We start from the raw sequence: 16880 nt of genomic DNA on the forward strand, positions 1-16880 counted from the left end.
ACACCTGTGATCCCAGCTACTCAGGAGGCTGAGGCAGGAGAATCGCTTGAACCCAGGAGGTGGAGGTTGCAGTGAGCCTAGATCTCACCACTACACTTCAGCCTGGGTGTCAGAGTGAGACCCTGTCTCAAAAAAAAAAAAAAAAAAAAAAAAAAAAAAAAGAGGCTTCCTTGCCAGTGGGTGTAGCAGAAACGAGAAGTGACATAAACAGTCAGGAAGCCGGCTAGGTGCGGTGGCTCACACCTGTAATCCCAGCACTTTGGGAGGCCAAGGCAGATGGATCACCTGAGGTCAGGAGTTCGAGAGCAGCCTGGCCAATATGGTGAAACCCCATCTCTACTAGAAATACAAAAATTAGCCGGGTGTGGTGGCACAAGTCTGTAATCCCAGCTACTCAGGCAGCTGAGGCAGGAGAATCGCTTGAACTCAGGAGGCAGAGGTTGCAGTGAGCTGAGATGGTGCCCCTGCACTGCAGCCTGGGTGACACAGTGAGACTCCATCCCCCCCAAAAAAGTCAGGAAGCTGCTGAGATCATCCAGGTGAACGGTGAACCCACGTGGCCCCAACTGGAACAGGGACAGCAGAAAAGATGACAAGAGGAGGTTCTGGAGATAGAATCCATAGGACCCAGTTATTGGTTCAATGGGAAAAGGCCAAAGAGGTAAAATGCCTGTTTCCTGATGTTTCCTTAGTGATGCTATATTATTAGCAGACAGAGAAGACTCAGTGTTTTAGGAGTTCTGGTTTCAAAAAAAGCAGGGGGCATGGAGTCAAAGTCCAAATTTGAAGCCTCACTGGGACATCCTGGGGAGATGTCCAACAGGGTGTTGAAAAGATGGCACAGAGTATCAGATATCTGGGTGAATTTCTCCACAGCTCTCTCTCTGGGTGAGTGTGGAGTTCAGTCCCTTCTTTGGACAGGTATTGTGCCCCACCCTGAGGGCTACTGCATTCATCCAACCTGTTGGAGGGACTGGTTCCTGGACATAGGAAACCTGGCACCTGGGCCATGGTAATAATCTCTTTATATAGGATTTTGCTATTTTCACAATATTTTAAAGATGAAGAGTGGATGGGAATGGTGGCTCACATCTGTAATTCCTGCACTTTGGGAGGCCGAGGCAAGGGATCCCTTGAGGCCAGGAGTTCAAGACCAGGTTGGGCAACATAGCGAGACTCTGTCTCTACAAAAAATTTAAAAATTAGGCTAGGTGCAGTGCTCACACCTGTAATCTCAGCACTTTGGGAGGCCAAGGTGGGAGGACTGCTTGAGGTCTGGAGTTTGAGACCAGCCTGGGAAACATGGCAAAACACCATCTCTACAAAAAAATTTCAATCAACTTTCTTTAAAATGAAAAATAAAAATACAAAAATTAGCCAGTTGTGGTGGCGCATGCCTGTAATTCCAGCTACTAGGGAGGCTGAGGCAGGAGGATCACCTGAGCCCAGGAGGTCGAGGCTGCATCCCAGCCTCAGCGACAAAGGGAGACCCTGTTTCAAAAAATAAGTAACATATATGTTATTATATAATATATATTATTTATATAATATATAAATATAACAAATATAACATTTATATAATATATAAATGTTATATTTATGTATTATTTTATAAATTAACTTTTTTTTTTTTGTGAGACGGAGTGTCACTCTGTCGGCCACACTGGAGTGCAGTGGTGTGAACTGGGCTCACTGCAACCTCTGCCTCCGGGGTTCAAGTGGGTCTCCTGCCTCAGTCTCCCCAGTAGGTGGGATTACAGGCACCCGCCACCATGCCCAGCTAATTTTTGTATTTTTAGTAGAGACGGGGTTTTGCCATGTTGGTCAGGCTGGTCTCGAACTCCTGACCTCAGGTGATCCGCCCACCTCAGCCTACCAAAGTTCTGGGATTACAGGCGTGAGCCACCGTGCCTGGGCTATTTTTAAAAGATGGAGAAGGGGCTCTGAGAGAAGTGAGTTGCACAGTGTTGCAAAAGGAATTCACAGCACAGCTAGTAATAATAGTAGTAGTAGTAATAATAACAATGGCGATGAGAACACTTAGTAATGCCGTGCTCTAAATCCTTTAGGAACAAAGGTTATACCACTTAATCTTCATGACCCTGTAAAGTAGAAACCATAGCAGGAGGCAGAGGTGGGCTTCACTCCCCAACCAAGGCTGCCAGACTTTTCAAACCCCAGAAGCTCTCTGTATCCCCCCACTCCTCTTCCATCCAGGGCTTGCCTCCTGCTTGGTCACTTCCCACCCCCAACAGGCCGGCCTTCAAAAGCGAGCTCTAGGCAGCGTGTGGGACCTCACGCCTGTAATCGCAGCGCTTTGAGAGGCCGAGGAGGGAGGATCACTTGAGACCAGTTCGAGACCAACCTGGGCATCATAGCGAGACCGCATCTCTGCAAATAAAATAAAATAAAATTAGCTAGGTGTGGTGGCGCGCCTGTAGTCCCAGCTACTGGGAGGCTGAAGTGGGAGAATCGCCTGAGCACAGGAGTTGAAGGCTGCAGTGAGCTGTGACTGCACCACTGCAATCCAGCCTGGGCGACAGAACGAGACCCTGTCTCTAAAAACAAACGCGCGCCCTCCGCCGTCAGGCTGGATGGAGGGAACCCAGGGAGACGACTTGGGCCTGAAGCCTCGCCAATTTCAGGTGAGGAAACAGGGCCGTGGAGGAGACAATGTGGCGATCACAAGCAAGCGGCGGCCCGAAGGAGGAGGCTAGACCGGCGGGCGCACAGCCACAGTTCTGCAGTGATCCCCGGGAAGGTGGGCAGCCGGCCCGGTGACCTGCAGGGTCCGAGCTGTAGAAGCCGCAGCCGCCGTCTCCAGGCGACTCCGCCACCCCCGGAACCACGCACTTTCATTTCTCTGCCGGGCGACCCAGCCGAGCCGCGAGGGGGCGTGGCCGGGCCGGGCCGTACCAAGAGCGCAAATTTGCAGGGGGAAGCGCGGGGCTCCGGGAATGCACGCGCGGCTCGAGTGGGCGGGGCGGCGGCCCAATGGCCACGCCCCCACCCCCGCGGCCGGCGAAGGCGGTGGTAGCGCCTCAGTGGTGTGGGCCTGAGCCCTGCCCAGGTGCCCGCAGAGAGCAGCCGGGCTGCCAGCGGTGAGTGCTATCTTTCGCGGCGACGGCGGGGTGGGTGAGGTCGGGCCCCAAGACTCGGGGTTTGCCGGGCGCCTCAGTTCACCGCGGCCGCCTGGCTCTCTGCGTCGGGGTGGGCCCTCGGGCCTGGGCACTGCGCGTCTGGCCCGACGCTCGGGCGGAAGGCATGGCTCCCACCCCGGCCCTCCTCCGCGTCGCCCTTCCCCTAGAGCTGATCTCCCGCGGCGGCCTGAGGGTCGACTTTTCCACAGCTTGGGCCGAGAGAGCCCGGCAGGCCCTCGGCTGAGGGTTAGGGCTCGGTATCTCAGGGCTCGGGGTCCAGTCCCCGCGCCGCCGCCCCCCACGGGCTAAGCCACTTTAACTCTCCGAGCCTCAGTTTCCCCATCTGTACGATGAATGGGCCTCGGGAGGCAGCGAATTCTGGGGGTACCTAACGTGAGAGGCGCTCGATGCATGCTCATGGGACCCGAATCTAACCCTGCAGCATCAGGTGGGCTGAGTCGATGGATCACGGGAGCCCCCCAGCCCGGCCTGCATCCCTGAGGGCAGTGCCCCTCGCAGTCAGGTGTCTCGGCGGCCCCCACAACACAGGTACCCGGATCTCCTGGGGGAGCCGGGACACCCTTAGATCGGGGGAGCAATTGGGTAAGAGTTCAAGGTCTCTTGGGCGCCAGGGGGAGGAGAGTAGAGGTTTCAGTGAGCTTGATTGACTTCGACTTTCTGCGTATTGTTTTTCAAAACGAGTTACCCTTGTGTAAACTGGTGACCACTAATAAGGAGTTTGGGGCTGTTTCAATGAAAGTGGCTGTCTCCTCTCTTAAACCCTTAAAGCTGCAGCCTTGCCTTGCCTTGCCTCTGAGCTTGGCCAAGCTGGAGAATGATGCCAGCACAAAAGGAGACAGGACTGGACTGGGTGGCCCTGGTTTGATTCTTGGCAAGCAAGATACCTCCTGGAGCCTCCGTTTTCTGATCAGTGGGTCTGGTAGTAAGACAGCCACCCTGCTCTCCCCACAGGGTTGAGATTCTGAGGATCAAGACAGGGTCCCAGAGAGTGGCATCGAGAACTTTAATCCTCCTTGTAAGCAGAACGTTTATGGAACCCTCTGGGGGATCCAGTATCCCCACCGTTGTTCACTGCTGTAATTCCTTGGGTCTTGCTTTATGGAGAAGGCATTGATTCATTAACCATTTGCAAGTTCTACCTACGGAAATCCCTTTTGAGTGGTTATGGGGTTGGCTTGGTCAGGAGAACAGCTCCAAAGGCCCAGTTAGTAAACCAGGGAACCCAGAAAGGTCCACTTCCTTTTTTTTGGGAGGAGGGCTGTTTTAGGAGTTCTTATTTTCCTTTTAAGAGAGTGGTTTTTGAGCTACTTATGACCTTCATGCCATCTAATGTTGGAAACTTTCGCTGAGCAGATAGCTTATTATAAAAAGTATTTGTACAACATCCGCATTTCAGAGAATGGGATGCTAGCTGCCAGTTGCGTGGTGGTGTGGAAACTTAGGAGTGATCTTAATTTTCCAAAATTCTTCAGGTCTAGCACTTGAAGAAATAATAGGTAGATTTGAAATGAAACAACCCAGGGATATTCCTGAAAACAGCAGCATTGACCGCAGCCAATGTAAATCAGGTGTGGATCGTCCTGGGTAGTAGGAGTTTATAAATGCCACAGAGGATGTTTGCTGCCAGACATACCTGAATTTTAGGACCTGCTGTTGGTTAACTCTGGGTTGATCCACCCTTAACCCCTTGAAAATCAGAATCTGTGTTAGGTAAGTCTGTGTATGATTAGGAGACAGGCCAATTGAAATCAAAACTGCTTGGCAAATCCAGAACATTTACTCGTGAAGTCCATGGAACATTTCAAGTTAAAAATAATTTAGCTTTTAAGTAACTTTTTTTTTTTTGTGAGACAGGTCTCACTCTGTCGTGCAGGCTGGAGTGCAGTGGCGCAATCATAGCTCACTGCAGCCTCAACCTCCAGGATTCAAGCAATCCTCCCTCCTCAGCCTCCCAAGTAGTTGGGAGTACAGGCACGCACCACCACACCCAGCTAATTTTTTAAATGTTTTTTAGAGATTTGGTTTGCCATGTTGCCCAGGCTGGTCTCGAATTCTGGGGTTCAAGTGGTCCTCCTGCTTTGACCTCCTAAAGTGCTGAGATTACAGGTGTGAGCCACCGTTCCTGGCTTTCTTATTTCTTCTTCTTTTTTTTTTTTTTTTTTCTGATGGAAGCTCTTGAAGTTATAGGACCTTTCATGGTTCCAGAGAGGCTGGCCGCCCCTACAAGAGCTTCGATGTCCTTGTGCTTTAGGGAGGAGCCAGAGAAACAGAGGTCAAGCTCTGGCACTAGCACCGTGTGTGGCCTCAATTGAGCATGTTGGGATTTAACTTTCTGTTATATGTCAGACTCACTTAAAAATTAAAGTTAGAAAAAGGTGAAATGGAGAAATGACAATTTTCTTTTCTTTTCTTTTCTTTTTTTGAGATGGAGTCTCGCTCTGTCGCCCAGGCTGGAGCGCAGTGGGCTCAGTGCAGCCTCCACCTCCCCCAGGTTCAAGCAATTTTCCTTGCTTGAATTCTGCCTCAGCCTCCTGAGTAGCTGGAATTTCGAGTACCCACCACCTGGCCAAAGATTCTGTGCTCATTAGCACACAGCCTCCCAGGTGGCTACAGCCTTAAAAGACTTTCAAATGCCAATTCTAGGCTGGGAACAGTGGCTCACGCCTGTAATTCCGGCACTTTGGGAGACCAAGGTGGGTGAATTGCTTGAGTCCAGGAGTTTGAGACCAGCCTGGGCAACACGGCGAATCCCTGTCTCTATAAAAAAAATACAAATACAAAAATTGACTGGGCATGGTGGCTCACGCCTGTAATCCCAGCACTTTGGGAGGCCGAGGCAGGCAGATCACTTGAGGTCAGGAGTTCGAGACCAGCCTGGCCAACGTGGTGAAACCCCGTCTCTACTAAAAATACAAAAATTAGCCGGTGTGGTGGTGTGCACCTGTAATCCCAACTACTCAGGAGGCTGAGGCAGAAGAATCACTTGAACCTGGGAAGCGGAGGTTGCAGTGAGCCGAGATCGTGCTGCTGCACTCCAGCCTGGGTGACAGAGTGAGACTCTGTCTCAGAAAAAAAAACCCAAAAAACAACAACTTGTTTTGCTGTGCAGTTTTGTCATCTGGCATTGGGCAGAAATTTGGACCCGCCGGGCAGGTGGGAGAAGCATCTGAGTCAGAGGTCACTTACCTGCTTGCATAGGCCGCTGACCTATACCAAGCCTTAGTTTCTTCATCACTAAAGTCAGAGAAAGAACCCACTCCACCTGCCTCTGGGACAGCTCAGAACATGTTAACCCTTTCAGCAGTGGGTCCTTCTTCATCTTCTTGGCGCTGTTTGGATCCCTGTAGCGTGACACATAAAAAAGCACACATCCGGCCTTAGGATATGTGTAGGCTCTGGTTTGGGCACTTGAGAACTCTCACAGGGAGGGAAGCAAGCATACAATTCAACAAGAATGGCACGGTGTGTTGCATTCATTCTCAAGATGATGGGGTGAGGCTTTTATTAGTGCTGAGCCTGCTGTTTGTTTCCACAGCAGGGCTCCAGGGGAGAGGTGATGTTTGAGTTGGGTCTTGGAGGATTGCTAGGAGTTCTCTGAGCCCACCCAGGCACACCAGCTCTGGGGGGCATGTAGGGTGTAGATTGCATGAGGCTGAGGTCGCGTGGTGGCACTTGTCTGAAATGGTCCTAGGAACCATGGGAAGAGATGGGGAGGTGTTTTAAAAGGTCAGGGCTATGTGACTAGCTCAGATCAGTGTTGTGTGTTTTTTTTTTTTTTAGACAGAGTCTCACTCTGTCACCCAGGCTGGAGTGCAGTGGTGTGATCTTGGCTCACTGCAACCTCTGTCTCCTGGGTTCAAGCAATTCTTGTGCCTCAGCCTCCCGAGTAGCTAGGATTACAGGCACCGGCCACCATGTCTGGCTCAGGACAGTGTTTTCTTGTACTGAATATTCTCTTACTGCCTAATATCCTCTCTGGGTGAATGAACAACCATTTGGGAAATTTTTACTGTGTCTAAATTTGTAATCATACTGTTTTAGAGCTCTACATCTTAAAAGTTTTTCCTCCCCAAGCGAGATGTTTACATCAGTTGTGTTCTTGTTGGGATTAGTGTGCACACGCCTGTCTGCATCTGTGCGTGCGTGTGTGTGTGTGTGTGTGTGTGTGTATGCATATAAGAGGGAGAGAAGATGGAGGAATTCCATGGGGGCAGACCATGGTTCTTTGCAGATTGGTGGCTCCAGTTGGTTGGGTTCACTGGAGCCACGTTCATCAGTTTGTTTCTTTCTTTCCTTTTCTCTCTCTGTATGTTTATTTATTTATTTATTATTTGTAGAAGTGGGGTCTGGCTATGTTGCCCAGGCTAGTTTCAAACTCCTGGCCTCAAGTGAGCCTCCTATCTCAGCCTCCCAAAACGCTGGGATTACAGGCATGAGCCACCGCGCCCAGCCCAGTAACTGTTACTCCTGACGCTGGTCGGTGTGGCAACTCAGTTGATGCTTGGACGTGTTGTGAACAAAGCCCCGGGGAACCTGATCCTTCTGGTGGCTTGTGCAGCAAACTGTTGATGTGGGAAGCTTATTTATTTCACTTGTTAAAGAGGTGACTTGGATAGGGGGATATCTAAGAATTGTCCTTTCATTGGAGTGCTGGAGGGTGTGGCATTCGGATCTCCTTTGTGCAGCATCTGTACCTAGCTGAGAGAATTGTACACATAATTTCCCGAAATGCGTCAGTTTCAAGGCTAACTTAGAATATGTTGGTGGCCAGACTGTGGTGCTGTCAGCTGTGGACTGTTCTCCAAGAGTTGAATTTCTTTTTTTTTTTTTTTTTTTTTTTTTTTGAGACAGAGTCTGACTCTCTCGCCTAGGCTGGAGTGCAGTGGTGTGATCTTGGCTCACTGCAACCTCTGCCTTCCAGGTTCAAGCAATTCTTCTGCCTCAGCCTCCCAAGTAGCTGGGATTACAGGCGCGTGCCATCACGCCCGGCTAATTTTTTTTTGTATTTTTAGTAGAGATGAGGTTTCACTGTGTTGGCCAGGCTGGTTTCAAACTCCTGACCTCAAGTGATCCACCCGCCTCAGCCTCCCAAAGTGCTAGGATTACCAGGCGTGAGCCACCATGTCCAGCTTATAAGAATTGAATTCTTTAGGAGACATTTGGTAGGAGAATAGAAGGGGGAAAGTTGCCTTTTGTCTACTTGGATGTAGTAATGAGGAGGAAGATGGGGCATTGTGGGGCGTGTCCTCTAACTTGGAACAGATGTAATTTATTTCTAGGTGAAAGTTAAGAACAGTGCTTACTCATTCTATTTATCTGCCCTCCTTTTATCTTCGGCACTTTTTCCTACAGCCCTGTTTCTGAGCTCACGTCACATCACCTCTGCGGTGGTGATGCCGGTGTTCTTAGAGCACTGTGTCCTAGTGATACTTTGATCTTCGTGGGCATGCATCATCAGTGCATTGGGTAAGCCGGGCCTGTACAAAGGTTTGCAGGTTTGGTTAGGAACACGTGAACTACGGTCACCTTTCTGAACTTTCTGAACTCATATGTAGTGACCATAGGTCACCTGGGTTGAGTTTTCAACACTGCAAACAGGGATGGCAGTTCTTGAATACACAGGAGAGTGCATTAGCCAGTGGTGCCCGGCATCATTCAGAGTGCAGTTTGGCATCAGGAATGTTCCGTCAGGTATTTGTGGTCTTGTGGAGAAAAGCCACTGTTGGTTTTGGTGAAGGGCTTCAGACCCTTTGACTGCTCATGAAACCACACAGTCTTAACATGGACACGTTGGACGCGTTCCTTACGTAACGTGATTTGCAAACTCAGGAGTCATTCAGCGTCACAGCAGTGATCAAAAGCTCCCAGCCCATCTACCCGAAACCTCCACAACAAGAGCTCTATCTGTCAGTGGCCTCACCGACTTCCTGGGCCCTGAAGCTCCAAGGACAAAAGACTCCTGTCCCTTTTCCCTTCCTCTCCATTCTGGGTCTCCCACCACCACCAAGTCCTGTAAGTTTTTAGTCTTTTTTTTTTTTTTTTTTTGAGACAGATTCTTGCTCTGTTGTTCAGAGTGCAGTGACACAATCTCAGCTCACTGCAACCTCTGCCTCCCAGGTTCAAGTGATTCTCCTGCCTCAGCTTCCCGAGTAGCTGGGATTATAGGTGCGCGGCACCGCGCCCAGCTAATTTTTGTATTTTTAGTAGAGACAGGGTTTCACTGTGTTGGCCAGGCTGGTCTCGAACTCCTGACCTCAGGCGATCTGCCTGCCTCGGCCTCCCAAAGTGCTGGGATTACAGCAGGCGTGAGCCACCACGCCCGGCCCTTTAAATCTCTTTCCACTGCTGTGGTCTTACTGTAGCCCCTTGTCACTTCCTGCTGCGCTGACCCGTAATTGACCCATAATTCTCCCTCTCTTCCCCTCCCTACCACGTTCCAAGATCTGTCCATGGTACCATTGCTGGTTGATCTTGGAACCCTGCTTCGGTCACCCCTCCTTTCTCTTCGCCCAGACTGGAGTGCAGTGGCACGATTTGGCTCACTGCAACCTCCACCTGTCAGGTTCAAGTGATTCTCCTGCCTCAGCCTCCCGAGTAGCTGGCACTACAGGCACGTGCCTCCACACCTAGCTAATTTTTGTATTTCTAGTAGAGACAGGGTTTCACCATGTTGGCCAGGCCAGTCTCGAACTCCTGGCCTTAAGTGGTCCACCCAGCTCAGCCTCCCAAAGTGCTGGGATAATAGGCAGGAGCCACTGTGCCCGGTCACTGTCACTGTCTTATTGCATGTTTTCTTCTTCATCTGCTTTCATAAAGGATAAACAGTGACTTAATAAAAGGTGTCTAATTCTCCCCTCCCTAGTGGCAATACGGTTGGACTAGAAGGTGAATTCAGTTGAGAACAGGGAACCTATCATTTCTGCGAGTGTAAGCTGGGGCATAGAACAATGCCAGGCATAAGGTAGGCACTTGGATGAATGGATGAATGAATAAATATGGCTTCTGTCCCCCAAGTTTACTGCTGAGCTTTCTCCTGCATATTGACTGAGCTCAGATGTCAAAATTGGGTCTGATCTGTAGTTTTTTTTTTTTTTTTTTTTGAGACAGAGCCTGTCACTCTGTCGCCCAGGCTGGAGTGCAGTGGCGCAATCTTGGCTCACTGCAACCTCTGCCTCCTGGGTTCAAGCAATTCTCGTGCCTCAACCTCCTGAGTAGCTGGAATTATAGGTGTGTGCCATCATGCCTGGCTAATTTTTTGTAATTTTAGTACAGATGGGGTTTCACCATGTTGCCCAGCTGGTCTCGAATGCCTGACCTGAAGCAGTCTGCCCGCCTCGGCCTTCCGAAGTGCTGGGATTACAGGCGTGAGCCACTGCGCCTGGCCTGGTCTGTACTTCTGAAGATTATTCCAAAGTACAGTAGGAACTTTTGGTAGGACTTTAGTTTTCCATCCAGGTATAAAATTTTGTGTCAGTGGTGGGGTTGCGCATGTTCAGTAGCTGCAACACTAGAAAGATGGCAAAGCAGGAGCAAAGAAAAATCCCTTTGGCTCCAGAAAATCTCCTGAAAGCAGAAGGCTTATCAAGGCCTCAAAGCCACCCAGTCAAAGTAGGCACTTTTGGCAAAGGAGGAGCAGAGGGAAGGAAAAGAGCTCAGGTTTAAACGACTGGAATCATTCCTACATGATTCCTGGCGGCAGAAACATGACAAGGTGTGTCTCAGACGACTAGAAGTAAAACCTCACACCTTGGAATCGCCAGATAAACATTCCTTGGCCTTTGTTGTACGCGTCGAAAGGATTGATGGTGTGAGTTTACTGGTGCGGAGAGCCATTGCAAGACTTAAACCTAAAAATGCAGCGTATAGTATGTAACCTTATGTGACCTGGGGATTTCCAAATCTGAAGTCTGTCCAGAAACTCATTTTGAAACGTAGACAAGCCAAGGTCAAGAATAAGACCATCCCTCTGACAACACAGTGATTGAGGAGCACCTGGGAAAGCTTGGTGTCTTTTGCTTGGAAGACCTCATTCATGAAATTGCCTTCCCAAGGAAGCATTTCCAGGAGATCTCATGGTTCTTGTCCCCTTTCCACCTCTCAGTGGACTGTCATGCTACCAAAAATAGTGGACTTTCTGAAGGAGATTGGCACACCTCCATCTTCTTGGGGGTGTGTGCATCAATCAGCTCATCCGCCAGCTGAACTAGAGCCAGGTGCCAAACTACAGTAAATTTTTATCAATGAACTGGAAGCTTGTGTTATTTTTGGGGGCGGGGTGGAATTTTTATCAAGTATCTTCAGAGAAGATTATTTCCTGCTTTATCTTCAAAAACTGTAAAGGAAGGGTCAAAGGAAAGACAGTGGCTGGCCGGGCCCGGTGGCTCACGCCTATAATCCTAGCACTTTGGGAGGCTGAGGCGGGCAGATCACCTGAGGTCGGGAGTTCGAAACCAGCCTGACCAACATGGAGAAACCCCGTCTCTACTAAAAATACAAAAATTAGCTGAGCGTGGTGGCACACGCCTGTAATCCCAGCTACTGGGGAGGCTGAGGCAGGAGAATCGCTTGAACCCGGGAGGCGGAGGTTGTGGTGAGCCAAGATCAGACCTTTGTCCTCCAGCCTGGGCAACAAGAGCGAAACTCCATCTCAAAAAAAAAAAAAAAGAAAAGAAAAGACAGTAGCTTACGTTCATGGCGGCACCTCTCATCACAGTCCAGTTCCAAGGAAAAATTCCAGCGTTTTCTACGTTGGCTGCTGCCTTGTCTGAAATCACATTTTGTGGAGAAAGGAGTCTTGCTTTGTTGCATCTTCTATCCTAGGGTTTAATGTTGGTGAATGAGTAACTCTAGCATTTGTACAAGGCTCCCTAAGAGTCCTGCAGCAGTCGACCAAGCCCGGGGACATAATTGAATCCGGAGATTCCTGGGGCCTTGAAAAAGGCTTGAAATATACATAGGAAGAAAGGCACAAAAATAAATGCTCACTTGTCTCTGCAAAAAAAAAGAAAAGAAAAATTGTGTCTCAAGTTCCTTCTGTAGTTGATAATTTATTCAGTAATCATTTTATAATTGAAGAAGAATATTCTGACTCTAAATCTTTCTAGATCAGTTACCTGGATGCTGAAGACATGAATAAATTTGTTTATTTTAAAAATCCTAGGGCCTGGCACAGTGGCTCATGCTTATAATCTTAGCACTGTGGGAGGCCGAGGTGGACGGATCACTAGAGCCCAGGAATTCAAGACCATCCTGGGCCACATGGCAAAACACCATCTCTATTTAAAAATTAGTGTTTTTAAACATCAGTGTTTAAAAATTAGCTGGGTGTGGTGGTGTGTACCTGTCATCCCAACTACTTGGGAGGCTGAGGTGGGAGGATCACCTGAGCCCAGGGAGGTTGAGGCTGCAGTGAGCCATGATCAGACCACTGCACACCAACCTGGGTGATAGAGTGAGACCCCCATCTCAAAATATACAGTAATAAATGAAAAATAGAAAATTCCCCAAATAAATAAATAATAGAAAATTCTAATGAAAATAAAAGGAGTTGAGTGTAACCGTTGAGTGTCTGCGCTGGGTGTTTATGTCTCATGTAACCAACGTAGCACTGTGAGCATGGTCATCCCGGAGACGGACTGTGATAAATCGTGTGCCCAGGATCCCAGAGTGCATAGGTGGCATATCTAGGTTTTGAACCAAGGTCTGTTGGTCTTTTATAGCTCAACTGGGTTGTGAGTTTGTTGAATTTCACTTTCCATGCTTTCCCCAACCAAACCAAAAACCAGAGGGGGAACTGAAAGCTGAGAGCCTAGTAATTGAGAAAAGGACTCTGGGAGGTGATGGTGTCAAAAAGCAGTCCAGGGAAGCTCTTGTGGTTGAGCACACAGCTCTGCCCAGAGCTTCCTAGATGCCAAGGCAAAGAAGGATGGGGTTACATAGCAGTTATTGGAAAAAGGAAGCTGACCAGTTTCTCATTAGTATTTTTCAGCTGGGCGCGATGGCTCATGTCTGTAGTCCCAGCACTCTGGGAGGCTGAGGCAGGAGGATCACTTGTGGCCAGGAGTTTGAGACCAGCCTGGGCAAGAGAGAGAGAGAGAGACCCTGTCCCTTCAACAAGAAAATACACATTTAAAATATTAGCCAGGCATGGTGGTGTGCACCTGTAGTCCCAGCTACTCAAGAGGCTGAAGCAGGACGATCGCTTGAGCCTGAGAGTTCAAGGCTGTAGTAAGCTATGATTGCACCACGACACTGCAGCCTGGGTGATGGAGCAAGACCCCATCTCTTAAATTTTTTTTAAAAAGTGCTTTTCCCTGGGCCTTTACACGAGGATCATTGAATAAAGCAGTGGTCAGCAGCCCATGTACTCAGCAAGTATTTGTAGAGCACCACGTATGTGCCAAGCTCTCTTCGAGGTGCTGGGACTACTTTTGTGTGTGGAAAAGACCAACAAGATGAAAGATGATGTTGGCCTAGGCCAGGGTGGAGGCACTGTTTTCAAGAACAGGAGTGTTCCCACAGGTGACCCTTTCTGGGTCCCATCTAGGTAAGAGGCTGAGAGGTTCAGGCTCGGTTGTAAATTCTGTAAGGGCAGTTCTTTGGGAGGTGTGAGCAAGAGAATGGAATCAGAGCGATTATTTTAGCAGGCAGGAGTGAAGCTTGAGAATCTGGCAGAGTGAGGAGCGATCTTGTGCCAGAGTGAGAGGCAGCCAGTCCAAAGTGAAGGTTCTGAAGCTCTTAGTACCTCCCACGTACAGTGTCCTGCTTTTTTTTCTTTCTCTTTTCTCTCTCTTTTTTTTTTTTTTTTTTTTTAAGGCAGGACACTTGCTCTGTCACCCAGGATCATTGCTCACTGCAGTCTCAAACTCCTTAAGCCCTTCCAAGTAGCTGGGACTACAGGCACACACCACCATGCTTGGCGAGTTTTTCTTTCTTTTTGCAGAGATGGGGTCTTGCTATGTTGCCCAGGCCGATCTCAAACTCCTGGGCTCAAACGATCCTCCTGTTGACCTCCCAAAGTGCTGGAATTACAGGCATGAGCCACTGTACCTGGACCCCTGCTATTTTTCCTGTGATATTTGAAAAGCTTGGCTTGGTTTCTTGCCCTTTAGTAGGTGATTGCAGGCAGAGCCACGAGGTCTTAGAAAGCAGCACGGCTCTGTTCCGATACTCCTGGCTGAAGGGCCAGTGTGCTGTGCCATTGAGGGAGAAGCATTGACTCTGGTCTGGGAGATTCTGTTCATTTAGTCATTCAGCAAACAAATATTGAGTGCTGGCCAGGTGTGGTGGCTCACACCTGTAATCCCAGCACTTTGGGAGGCCGAGGCGGGCAGATCACCTGAGGTCGCGAGTTCGAGACCGGCCTGACCAACATGGAGAAACCTGTCTCTACTAAAAATACAAAATTAGCCGGGCGTGGTGGTGCATGCCTGTAATCCCAGCTACTTGGGAGGCTGAGGCAGGAGAATCGCTTGAACCCGGGGGGCAGAGGTTGCAGTGAGCTGAGGTTGCGCCATTGCATTCCATCCAGCCTGGGCAACAAGAGCGAAACTCTGTCTCAAAAAAACAAAAACAAATATTGAGCACTCATGTTATGCAAAGTCTGATGAGCACCAGGGTTACAGAGGTGCAGGATAGCTCCACCCAGACACGAGACCAATCCTGTGTCCTTCTGCAGGGATTATTTCATCTTGGGTAATGCTGTCATCTGATGATGTGGCCAGGATGTCAGCTGCAAAATGAACCCCAGGTCATTCAGTGAGGCTGCGTCTACCTGTAACTTTGCCATGTCCTAAAAAGGTCTTGAAGGGCAGACAGATGGTTGATAGAATAGCTCTGGAGACAGTTGGTCTGGGTTTGAATCCTGGTTCCACCATTTATCGATTCCCTGATGTTGGACAAGGTCCTTTAACCTTTGTGATAATTACAGCTCCTGTATGTCAGAGCAGTGTTAAAACACTGTTCATTAGTTAAAAACAAATCAGGGCCGGGCTTGGTGGCTCACACCTGTAATCCCAGCACTTTGGGAGATTGAGGTGGGCTAATGGCTTGAGCCCAGGAGTTTGAGACCAACCTGGGCAACATGGCGAAACCCCGTATCTTAACAAAAAATTAATGGGGCTTGGTGGTGGGTGCCTGTAGTCCCAGCAACGCAGGAGGCTGGGCTGTCATCACGCCACTGTACAGCAGCCTGGCTGACAGAGTGAGACCCTGTCTCAAAAAAAAAACAACAACAAAAAAAACCCCAAAAAACAAAAACCAGGTCAGGAGTGGGGAGTGACTGCTGATGAGTGTGGGATTTCCTTTTGAGGGTATGAAGATGCTCTGGAATCTGGTAGTGGTGATGCTTGCACAATGGGTGAATATAGTGAAAACCACTGAATTTTATACTTTAAAATGATGAATTTTATGGTGTGTGAATTCTGTCTCAATTTTTTTTTTTTTTTTTTGAGACTGACTCTCGCTCTGTGGTCCAGGCTGGAGTGCAGTGGCCCAATCTCAGCCCACTGCAACCTCTGCCTCCCGGGTTCCAGTGATTCTCTTGCCTCAGCCTCCTGAGTAGCTGGGATTACAGGTGCCCACCACCACACCCAGCTAATTTTTGTATTTTTAGTAGAGACGGGGTTTCACCATGTTGGCTAGACTGGTCTCGAACTCCTGACCTCAAGTGATCTTGCCCTCCTCGGCCTGAGGCATGAGCCACTGCTCCCAGTCTCTATCTCAGGTTTCTTTTTTTTTTTTTTTTTTTTTGAGACGGAGTCTTGCTGTGTTGCCCAGGCTGGAGTACAGTGGAACAATCTTCACTTACCACAACCTCCACCTCCTGGGTTCAAGTGATTCTCCTGCCTCAGCCTCCCAAGTAGCTGGGATTACAGGCACACACTGCCATACCAGCTAATTTTTGTATTTTTAGTAGAGATAGGGTTTCACTATGTTGGCCAGGCTGGTCTCGAACTCCTGACCTTGTGATCCACCCGCCTCGGCCTCTCAAAGTACTGGGATTACAGGTGTGAGCCACCACACCCGGCTTCTATCTCAGTTTTTAAAAATCAGGTTTATAGGTCATGAGTTCTTGAGCAACTAGACTCCCACCAGTTGTGCCTCCAGTTCCCTGTCATCTTGAGCTAGTCGTGGACACCTGCAGCAGACGTATGTTCACTGCGTGTTTCTGGGCTCCCACACATTTCTAAGCCCTCTTGAAGTTAACTTCGGGTAATGGCCTGTGAGAGGAAGTCACGTATGTCACTTCTGGATGGAAGCATTTAAGAGCCAGGGCCAGGCCCTCCAGCAATCTTCTTCCCATCAGGACGGCCCGGAAGTTGAACATTGAGATGGTGGAATGACAAGAGAAAAAGCTGCTTGAACCACTGAGTCACCTTATGGAGGCCAAGGGCCTAGCGGAGTCACCCTGCCCACACTAGACGTTGCTTAGAGTTCAGCTTGAAGCCATGTGATGTGGGTCACTGCCCAGGAGGACTTTTTTCTAGTGCTGTGGCCTGGAGGACTTTCCCTCTAGCCTCTCATGCAGGTGTACTGTGTGATGTGGTGGGTCTCTTTTCTAACAGGAAGCCCCAGTGGGTGCAGCAGAGCTGTGGCTCTCCCAACTCAAGCACATCTCCACAGCTAGCTGCCGGCAAGTACGCAGCTCTCTTGGTGGTGTCTGAGAAATGGAGCATTAAGCCCTCAGTCTAAAGGAGCATCTTGGGTAACCTAGTGTAC

At 49.2% G+C, this 16880-nt stretch overlaps 1 protein-coding gene, 1 long non-coding RNA gene, 1 other non-coding gene and 1 pseudogene across 9 annotated transcripts in view, besides 3 other annotated features; all 4 read left to right on the top strand.

Annotated features, from left to right (window-relative positions):
- On the top strand, nucleotides 463-2416 carry LOC124901680 (uncharacterized). The gene is made up of 2 exons (XR_007060393.1): nucleotides 463-661; nucleotides 2218-2416. It is a non-coding gene; the product is annotated as an uncharacterized LOC124901680 (long non-coding RNA).
- Nucleotides 2485-2534: an enhancer, noted in NCBI's record as "active region_26183". NCBI's record gives its function as "activates an Ori minimal core promoter by ATAC-STARR-seq in GM12878 lymphoblastoid cells {active_cell/tissue: GM12878}" and the evidence as "EXISTENCE:reporter gene assay evidence [ECO:0000049][PMID:35858748]".
- Nucleotides 2795-3284: a silencer, noted in NCBI's record as "silent region_18302". NCBI's record gives its function as "represses an Ori minimal core promoter by ATAC-STARR-seq in GM12878 lymphoblastoid cells {active_cell/tissue: GM12878}" and the evidence as "EXISTENCE:reporter gene assay evidence [ECO:0000049][PMID:35858748]".
- POR (cytochrome p450 oxidoreductase) overlaps nucleotides 3077-16880 on the top strand; it is a 71701-nt gene continuing 57897 nt past the window's right edge. For 3 of the 7 annotated variants that reach the window (NM_001382658.3, NM_001382655.3, NM_001395413.1), the window contains exon 1: nucleotides 3077-3101. The gene's annotated coding sequence lies outside the window, so the exon portion shown is untranslated. Of the gene's footprint in view, nucleotides 3690-10023; nucleotides 10123-16880 lie in introns of all 7 variants that reach the window. The other 4 variants (NM_001367562.3, NM_001382657.2, NM_001382662.3 and 1 more) reach the window with 4 other exon arrangements.
- MIR4651 (microRNA 4651) lies at nucleotides 3119-3191 on the top strand. Its single transcript, NR_039795.1, has one exon. It is a non-coding gene; the product is annotated as a microRNA 4651 (primary transcript).
- Nucleotides 10635-11566, top strand: RPL7L1P3 (RPL7L1 pseudogene 3; annotated as a pseudogene).
- Nucleotides 16459-16518: an enhancer, noted in NCBI's record as "active region_26184". NCBI's record gives its function as "activates an Ori minimal core promoter by ATAC-STARR-seq in GM12878 lymphoblastoid cells {active_cell/tissue: GM12878}" and the evidence as "EXISTENCE:reporter gene assay evidence [ECO:0000049][PMID:35858748]".

The sequence above is a fragment of the Homo sapiens genome, chromosome 7, assembly GCF_000001405.40.
Source record: "Homo sapiens chromosome 7, GRCh38.p14 Primary Assembly".
NCBI lineage: Eukaryota > Metazoa > Chordata > Mammalia > Primates > Hominidae > Homo > Homo sapiens.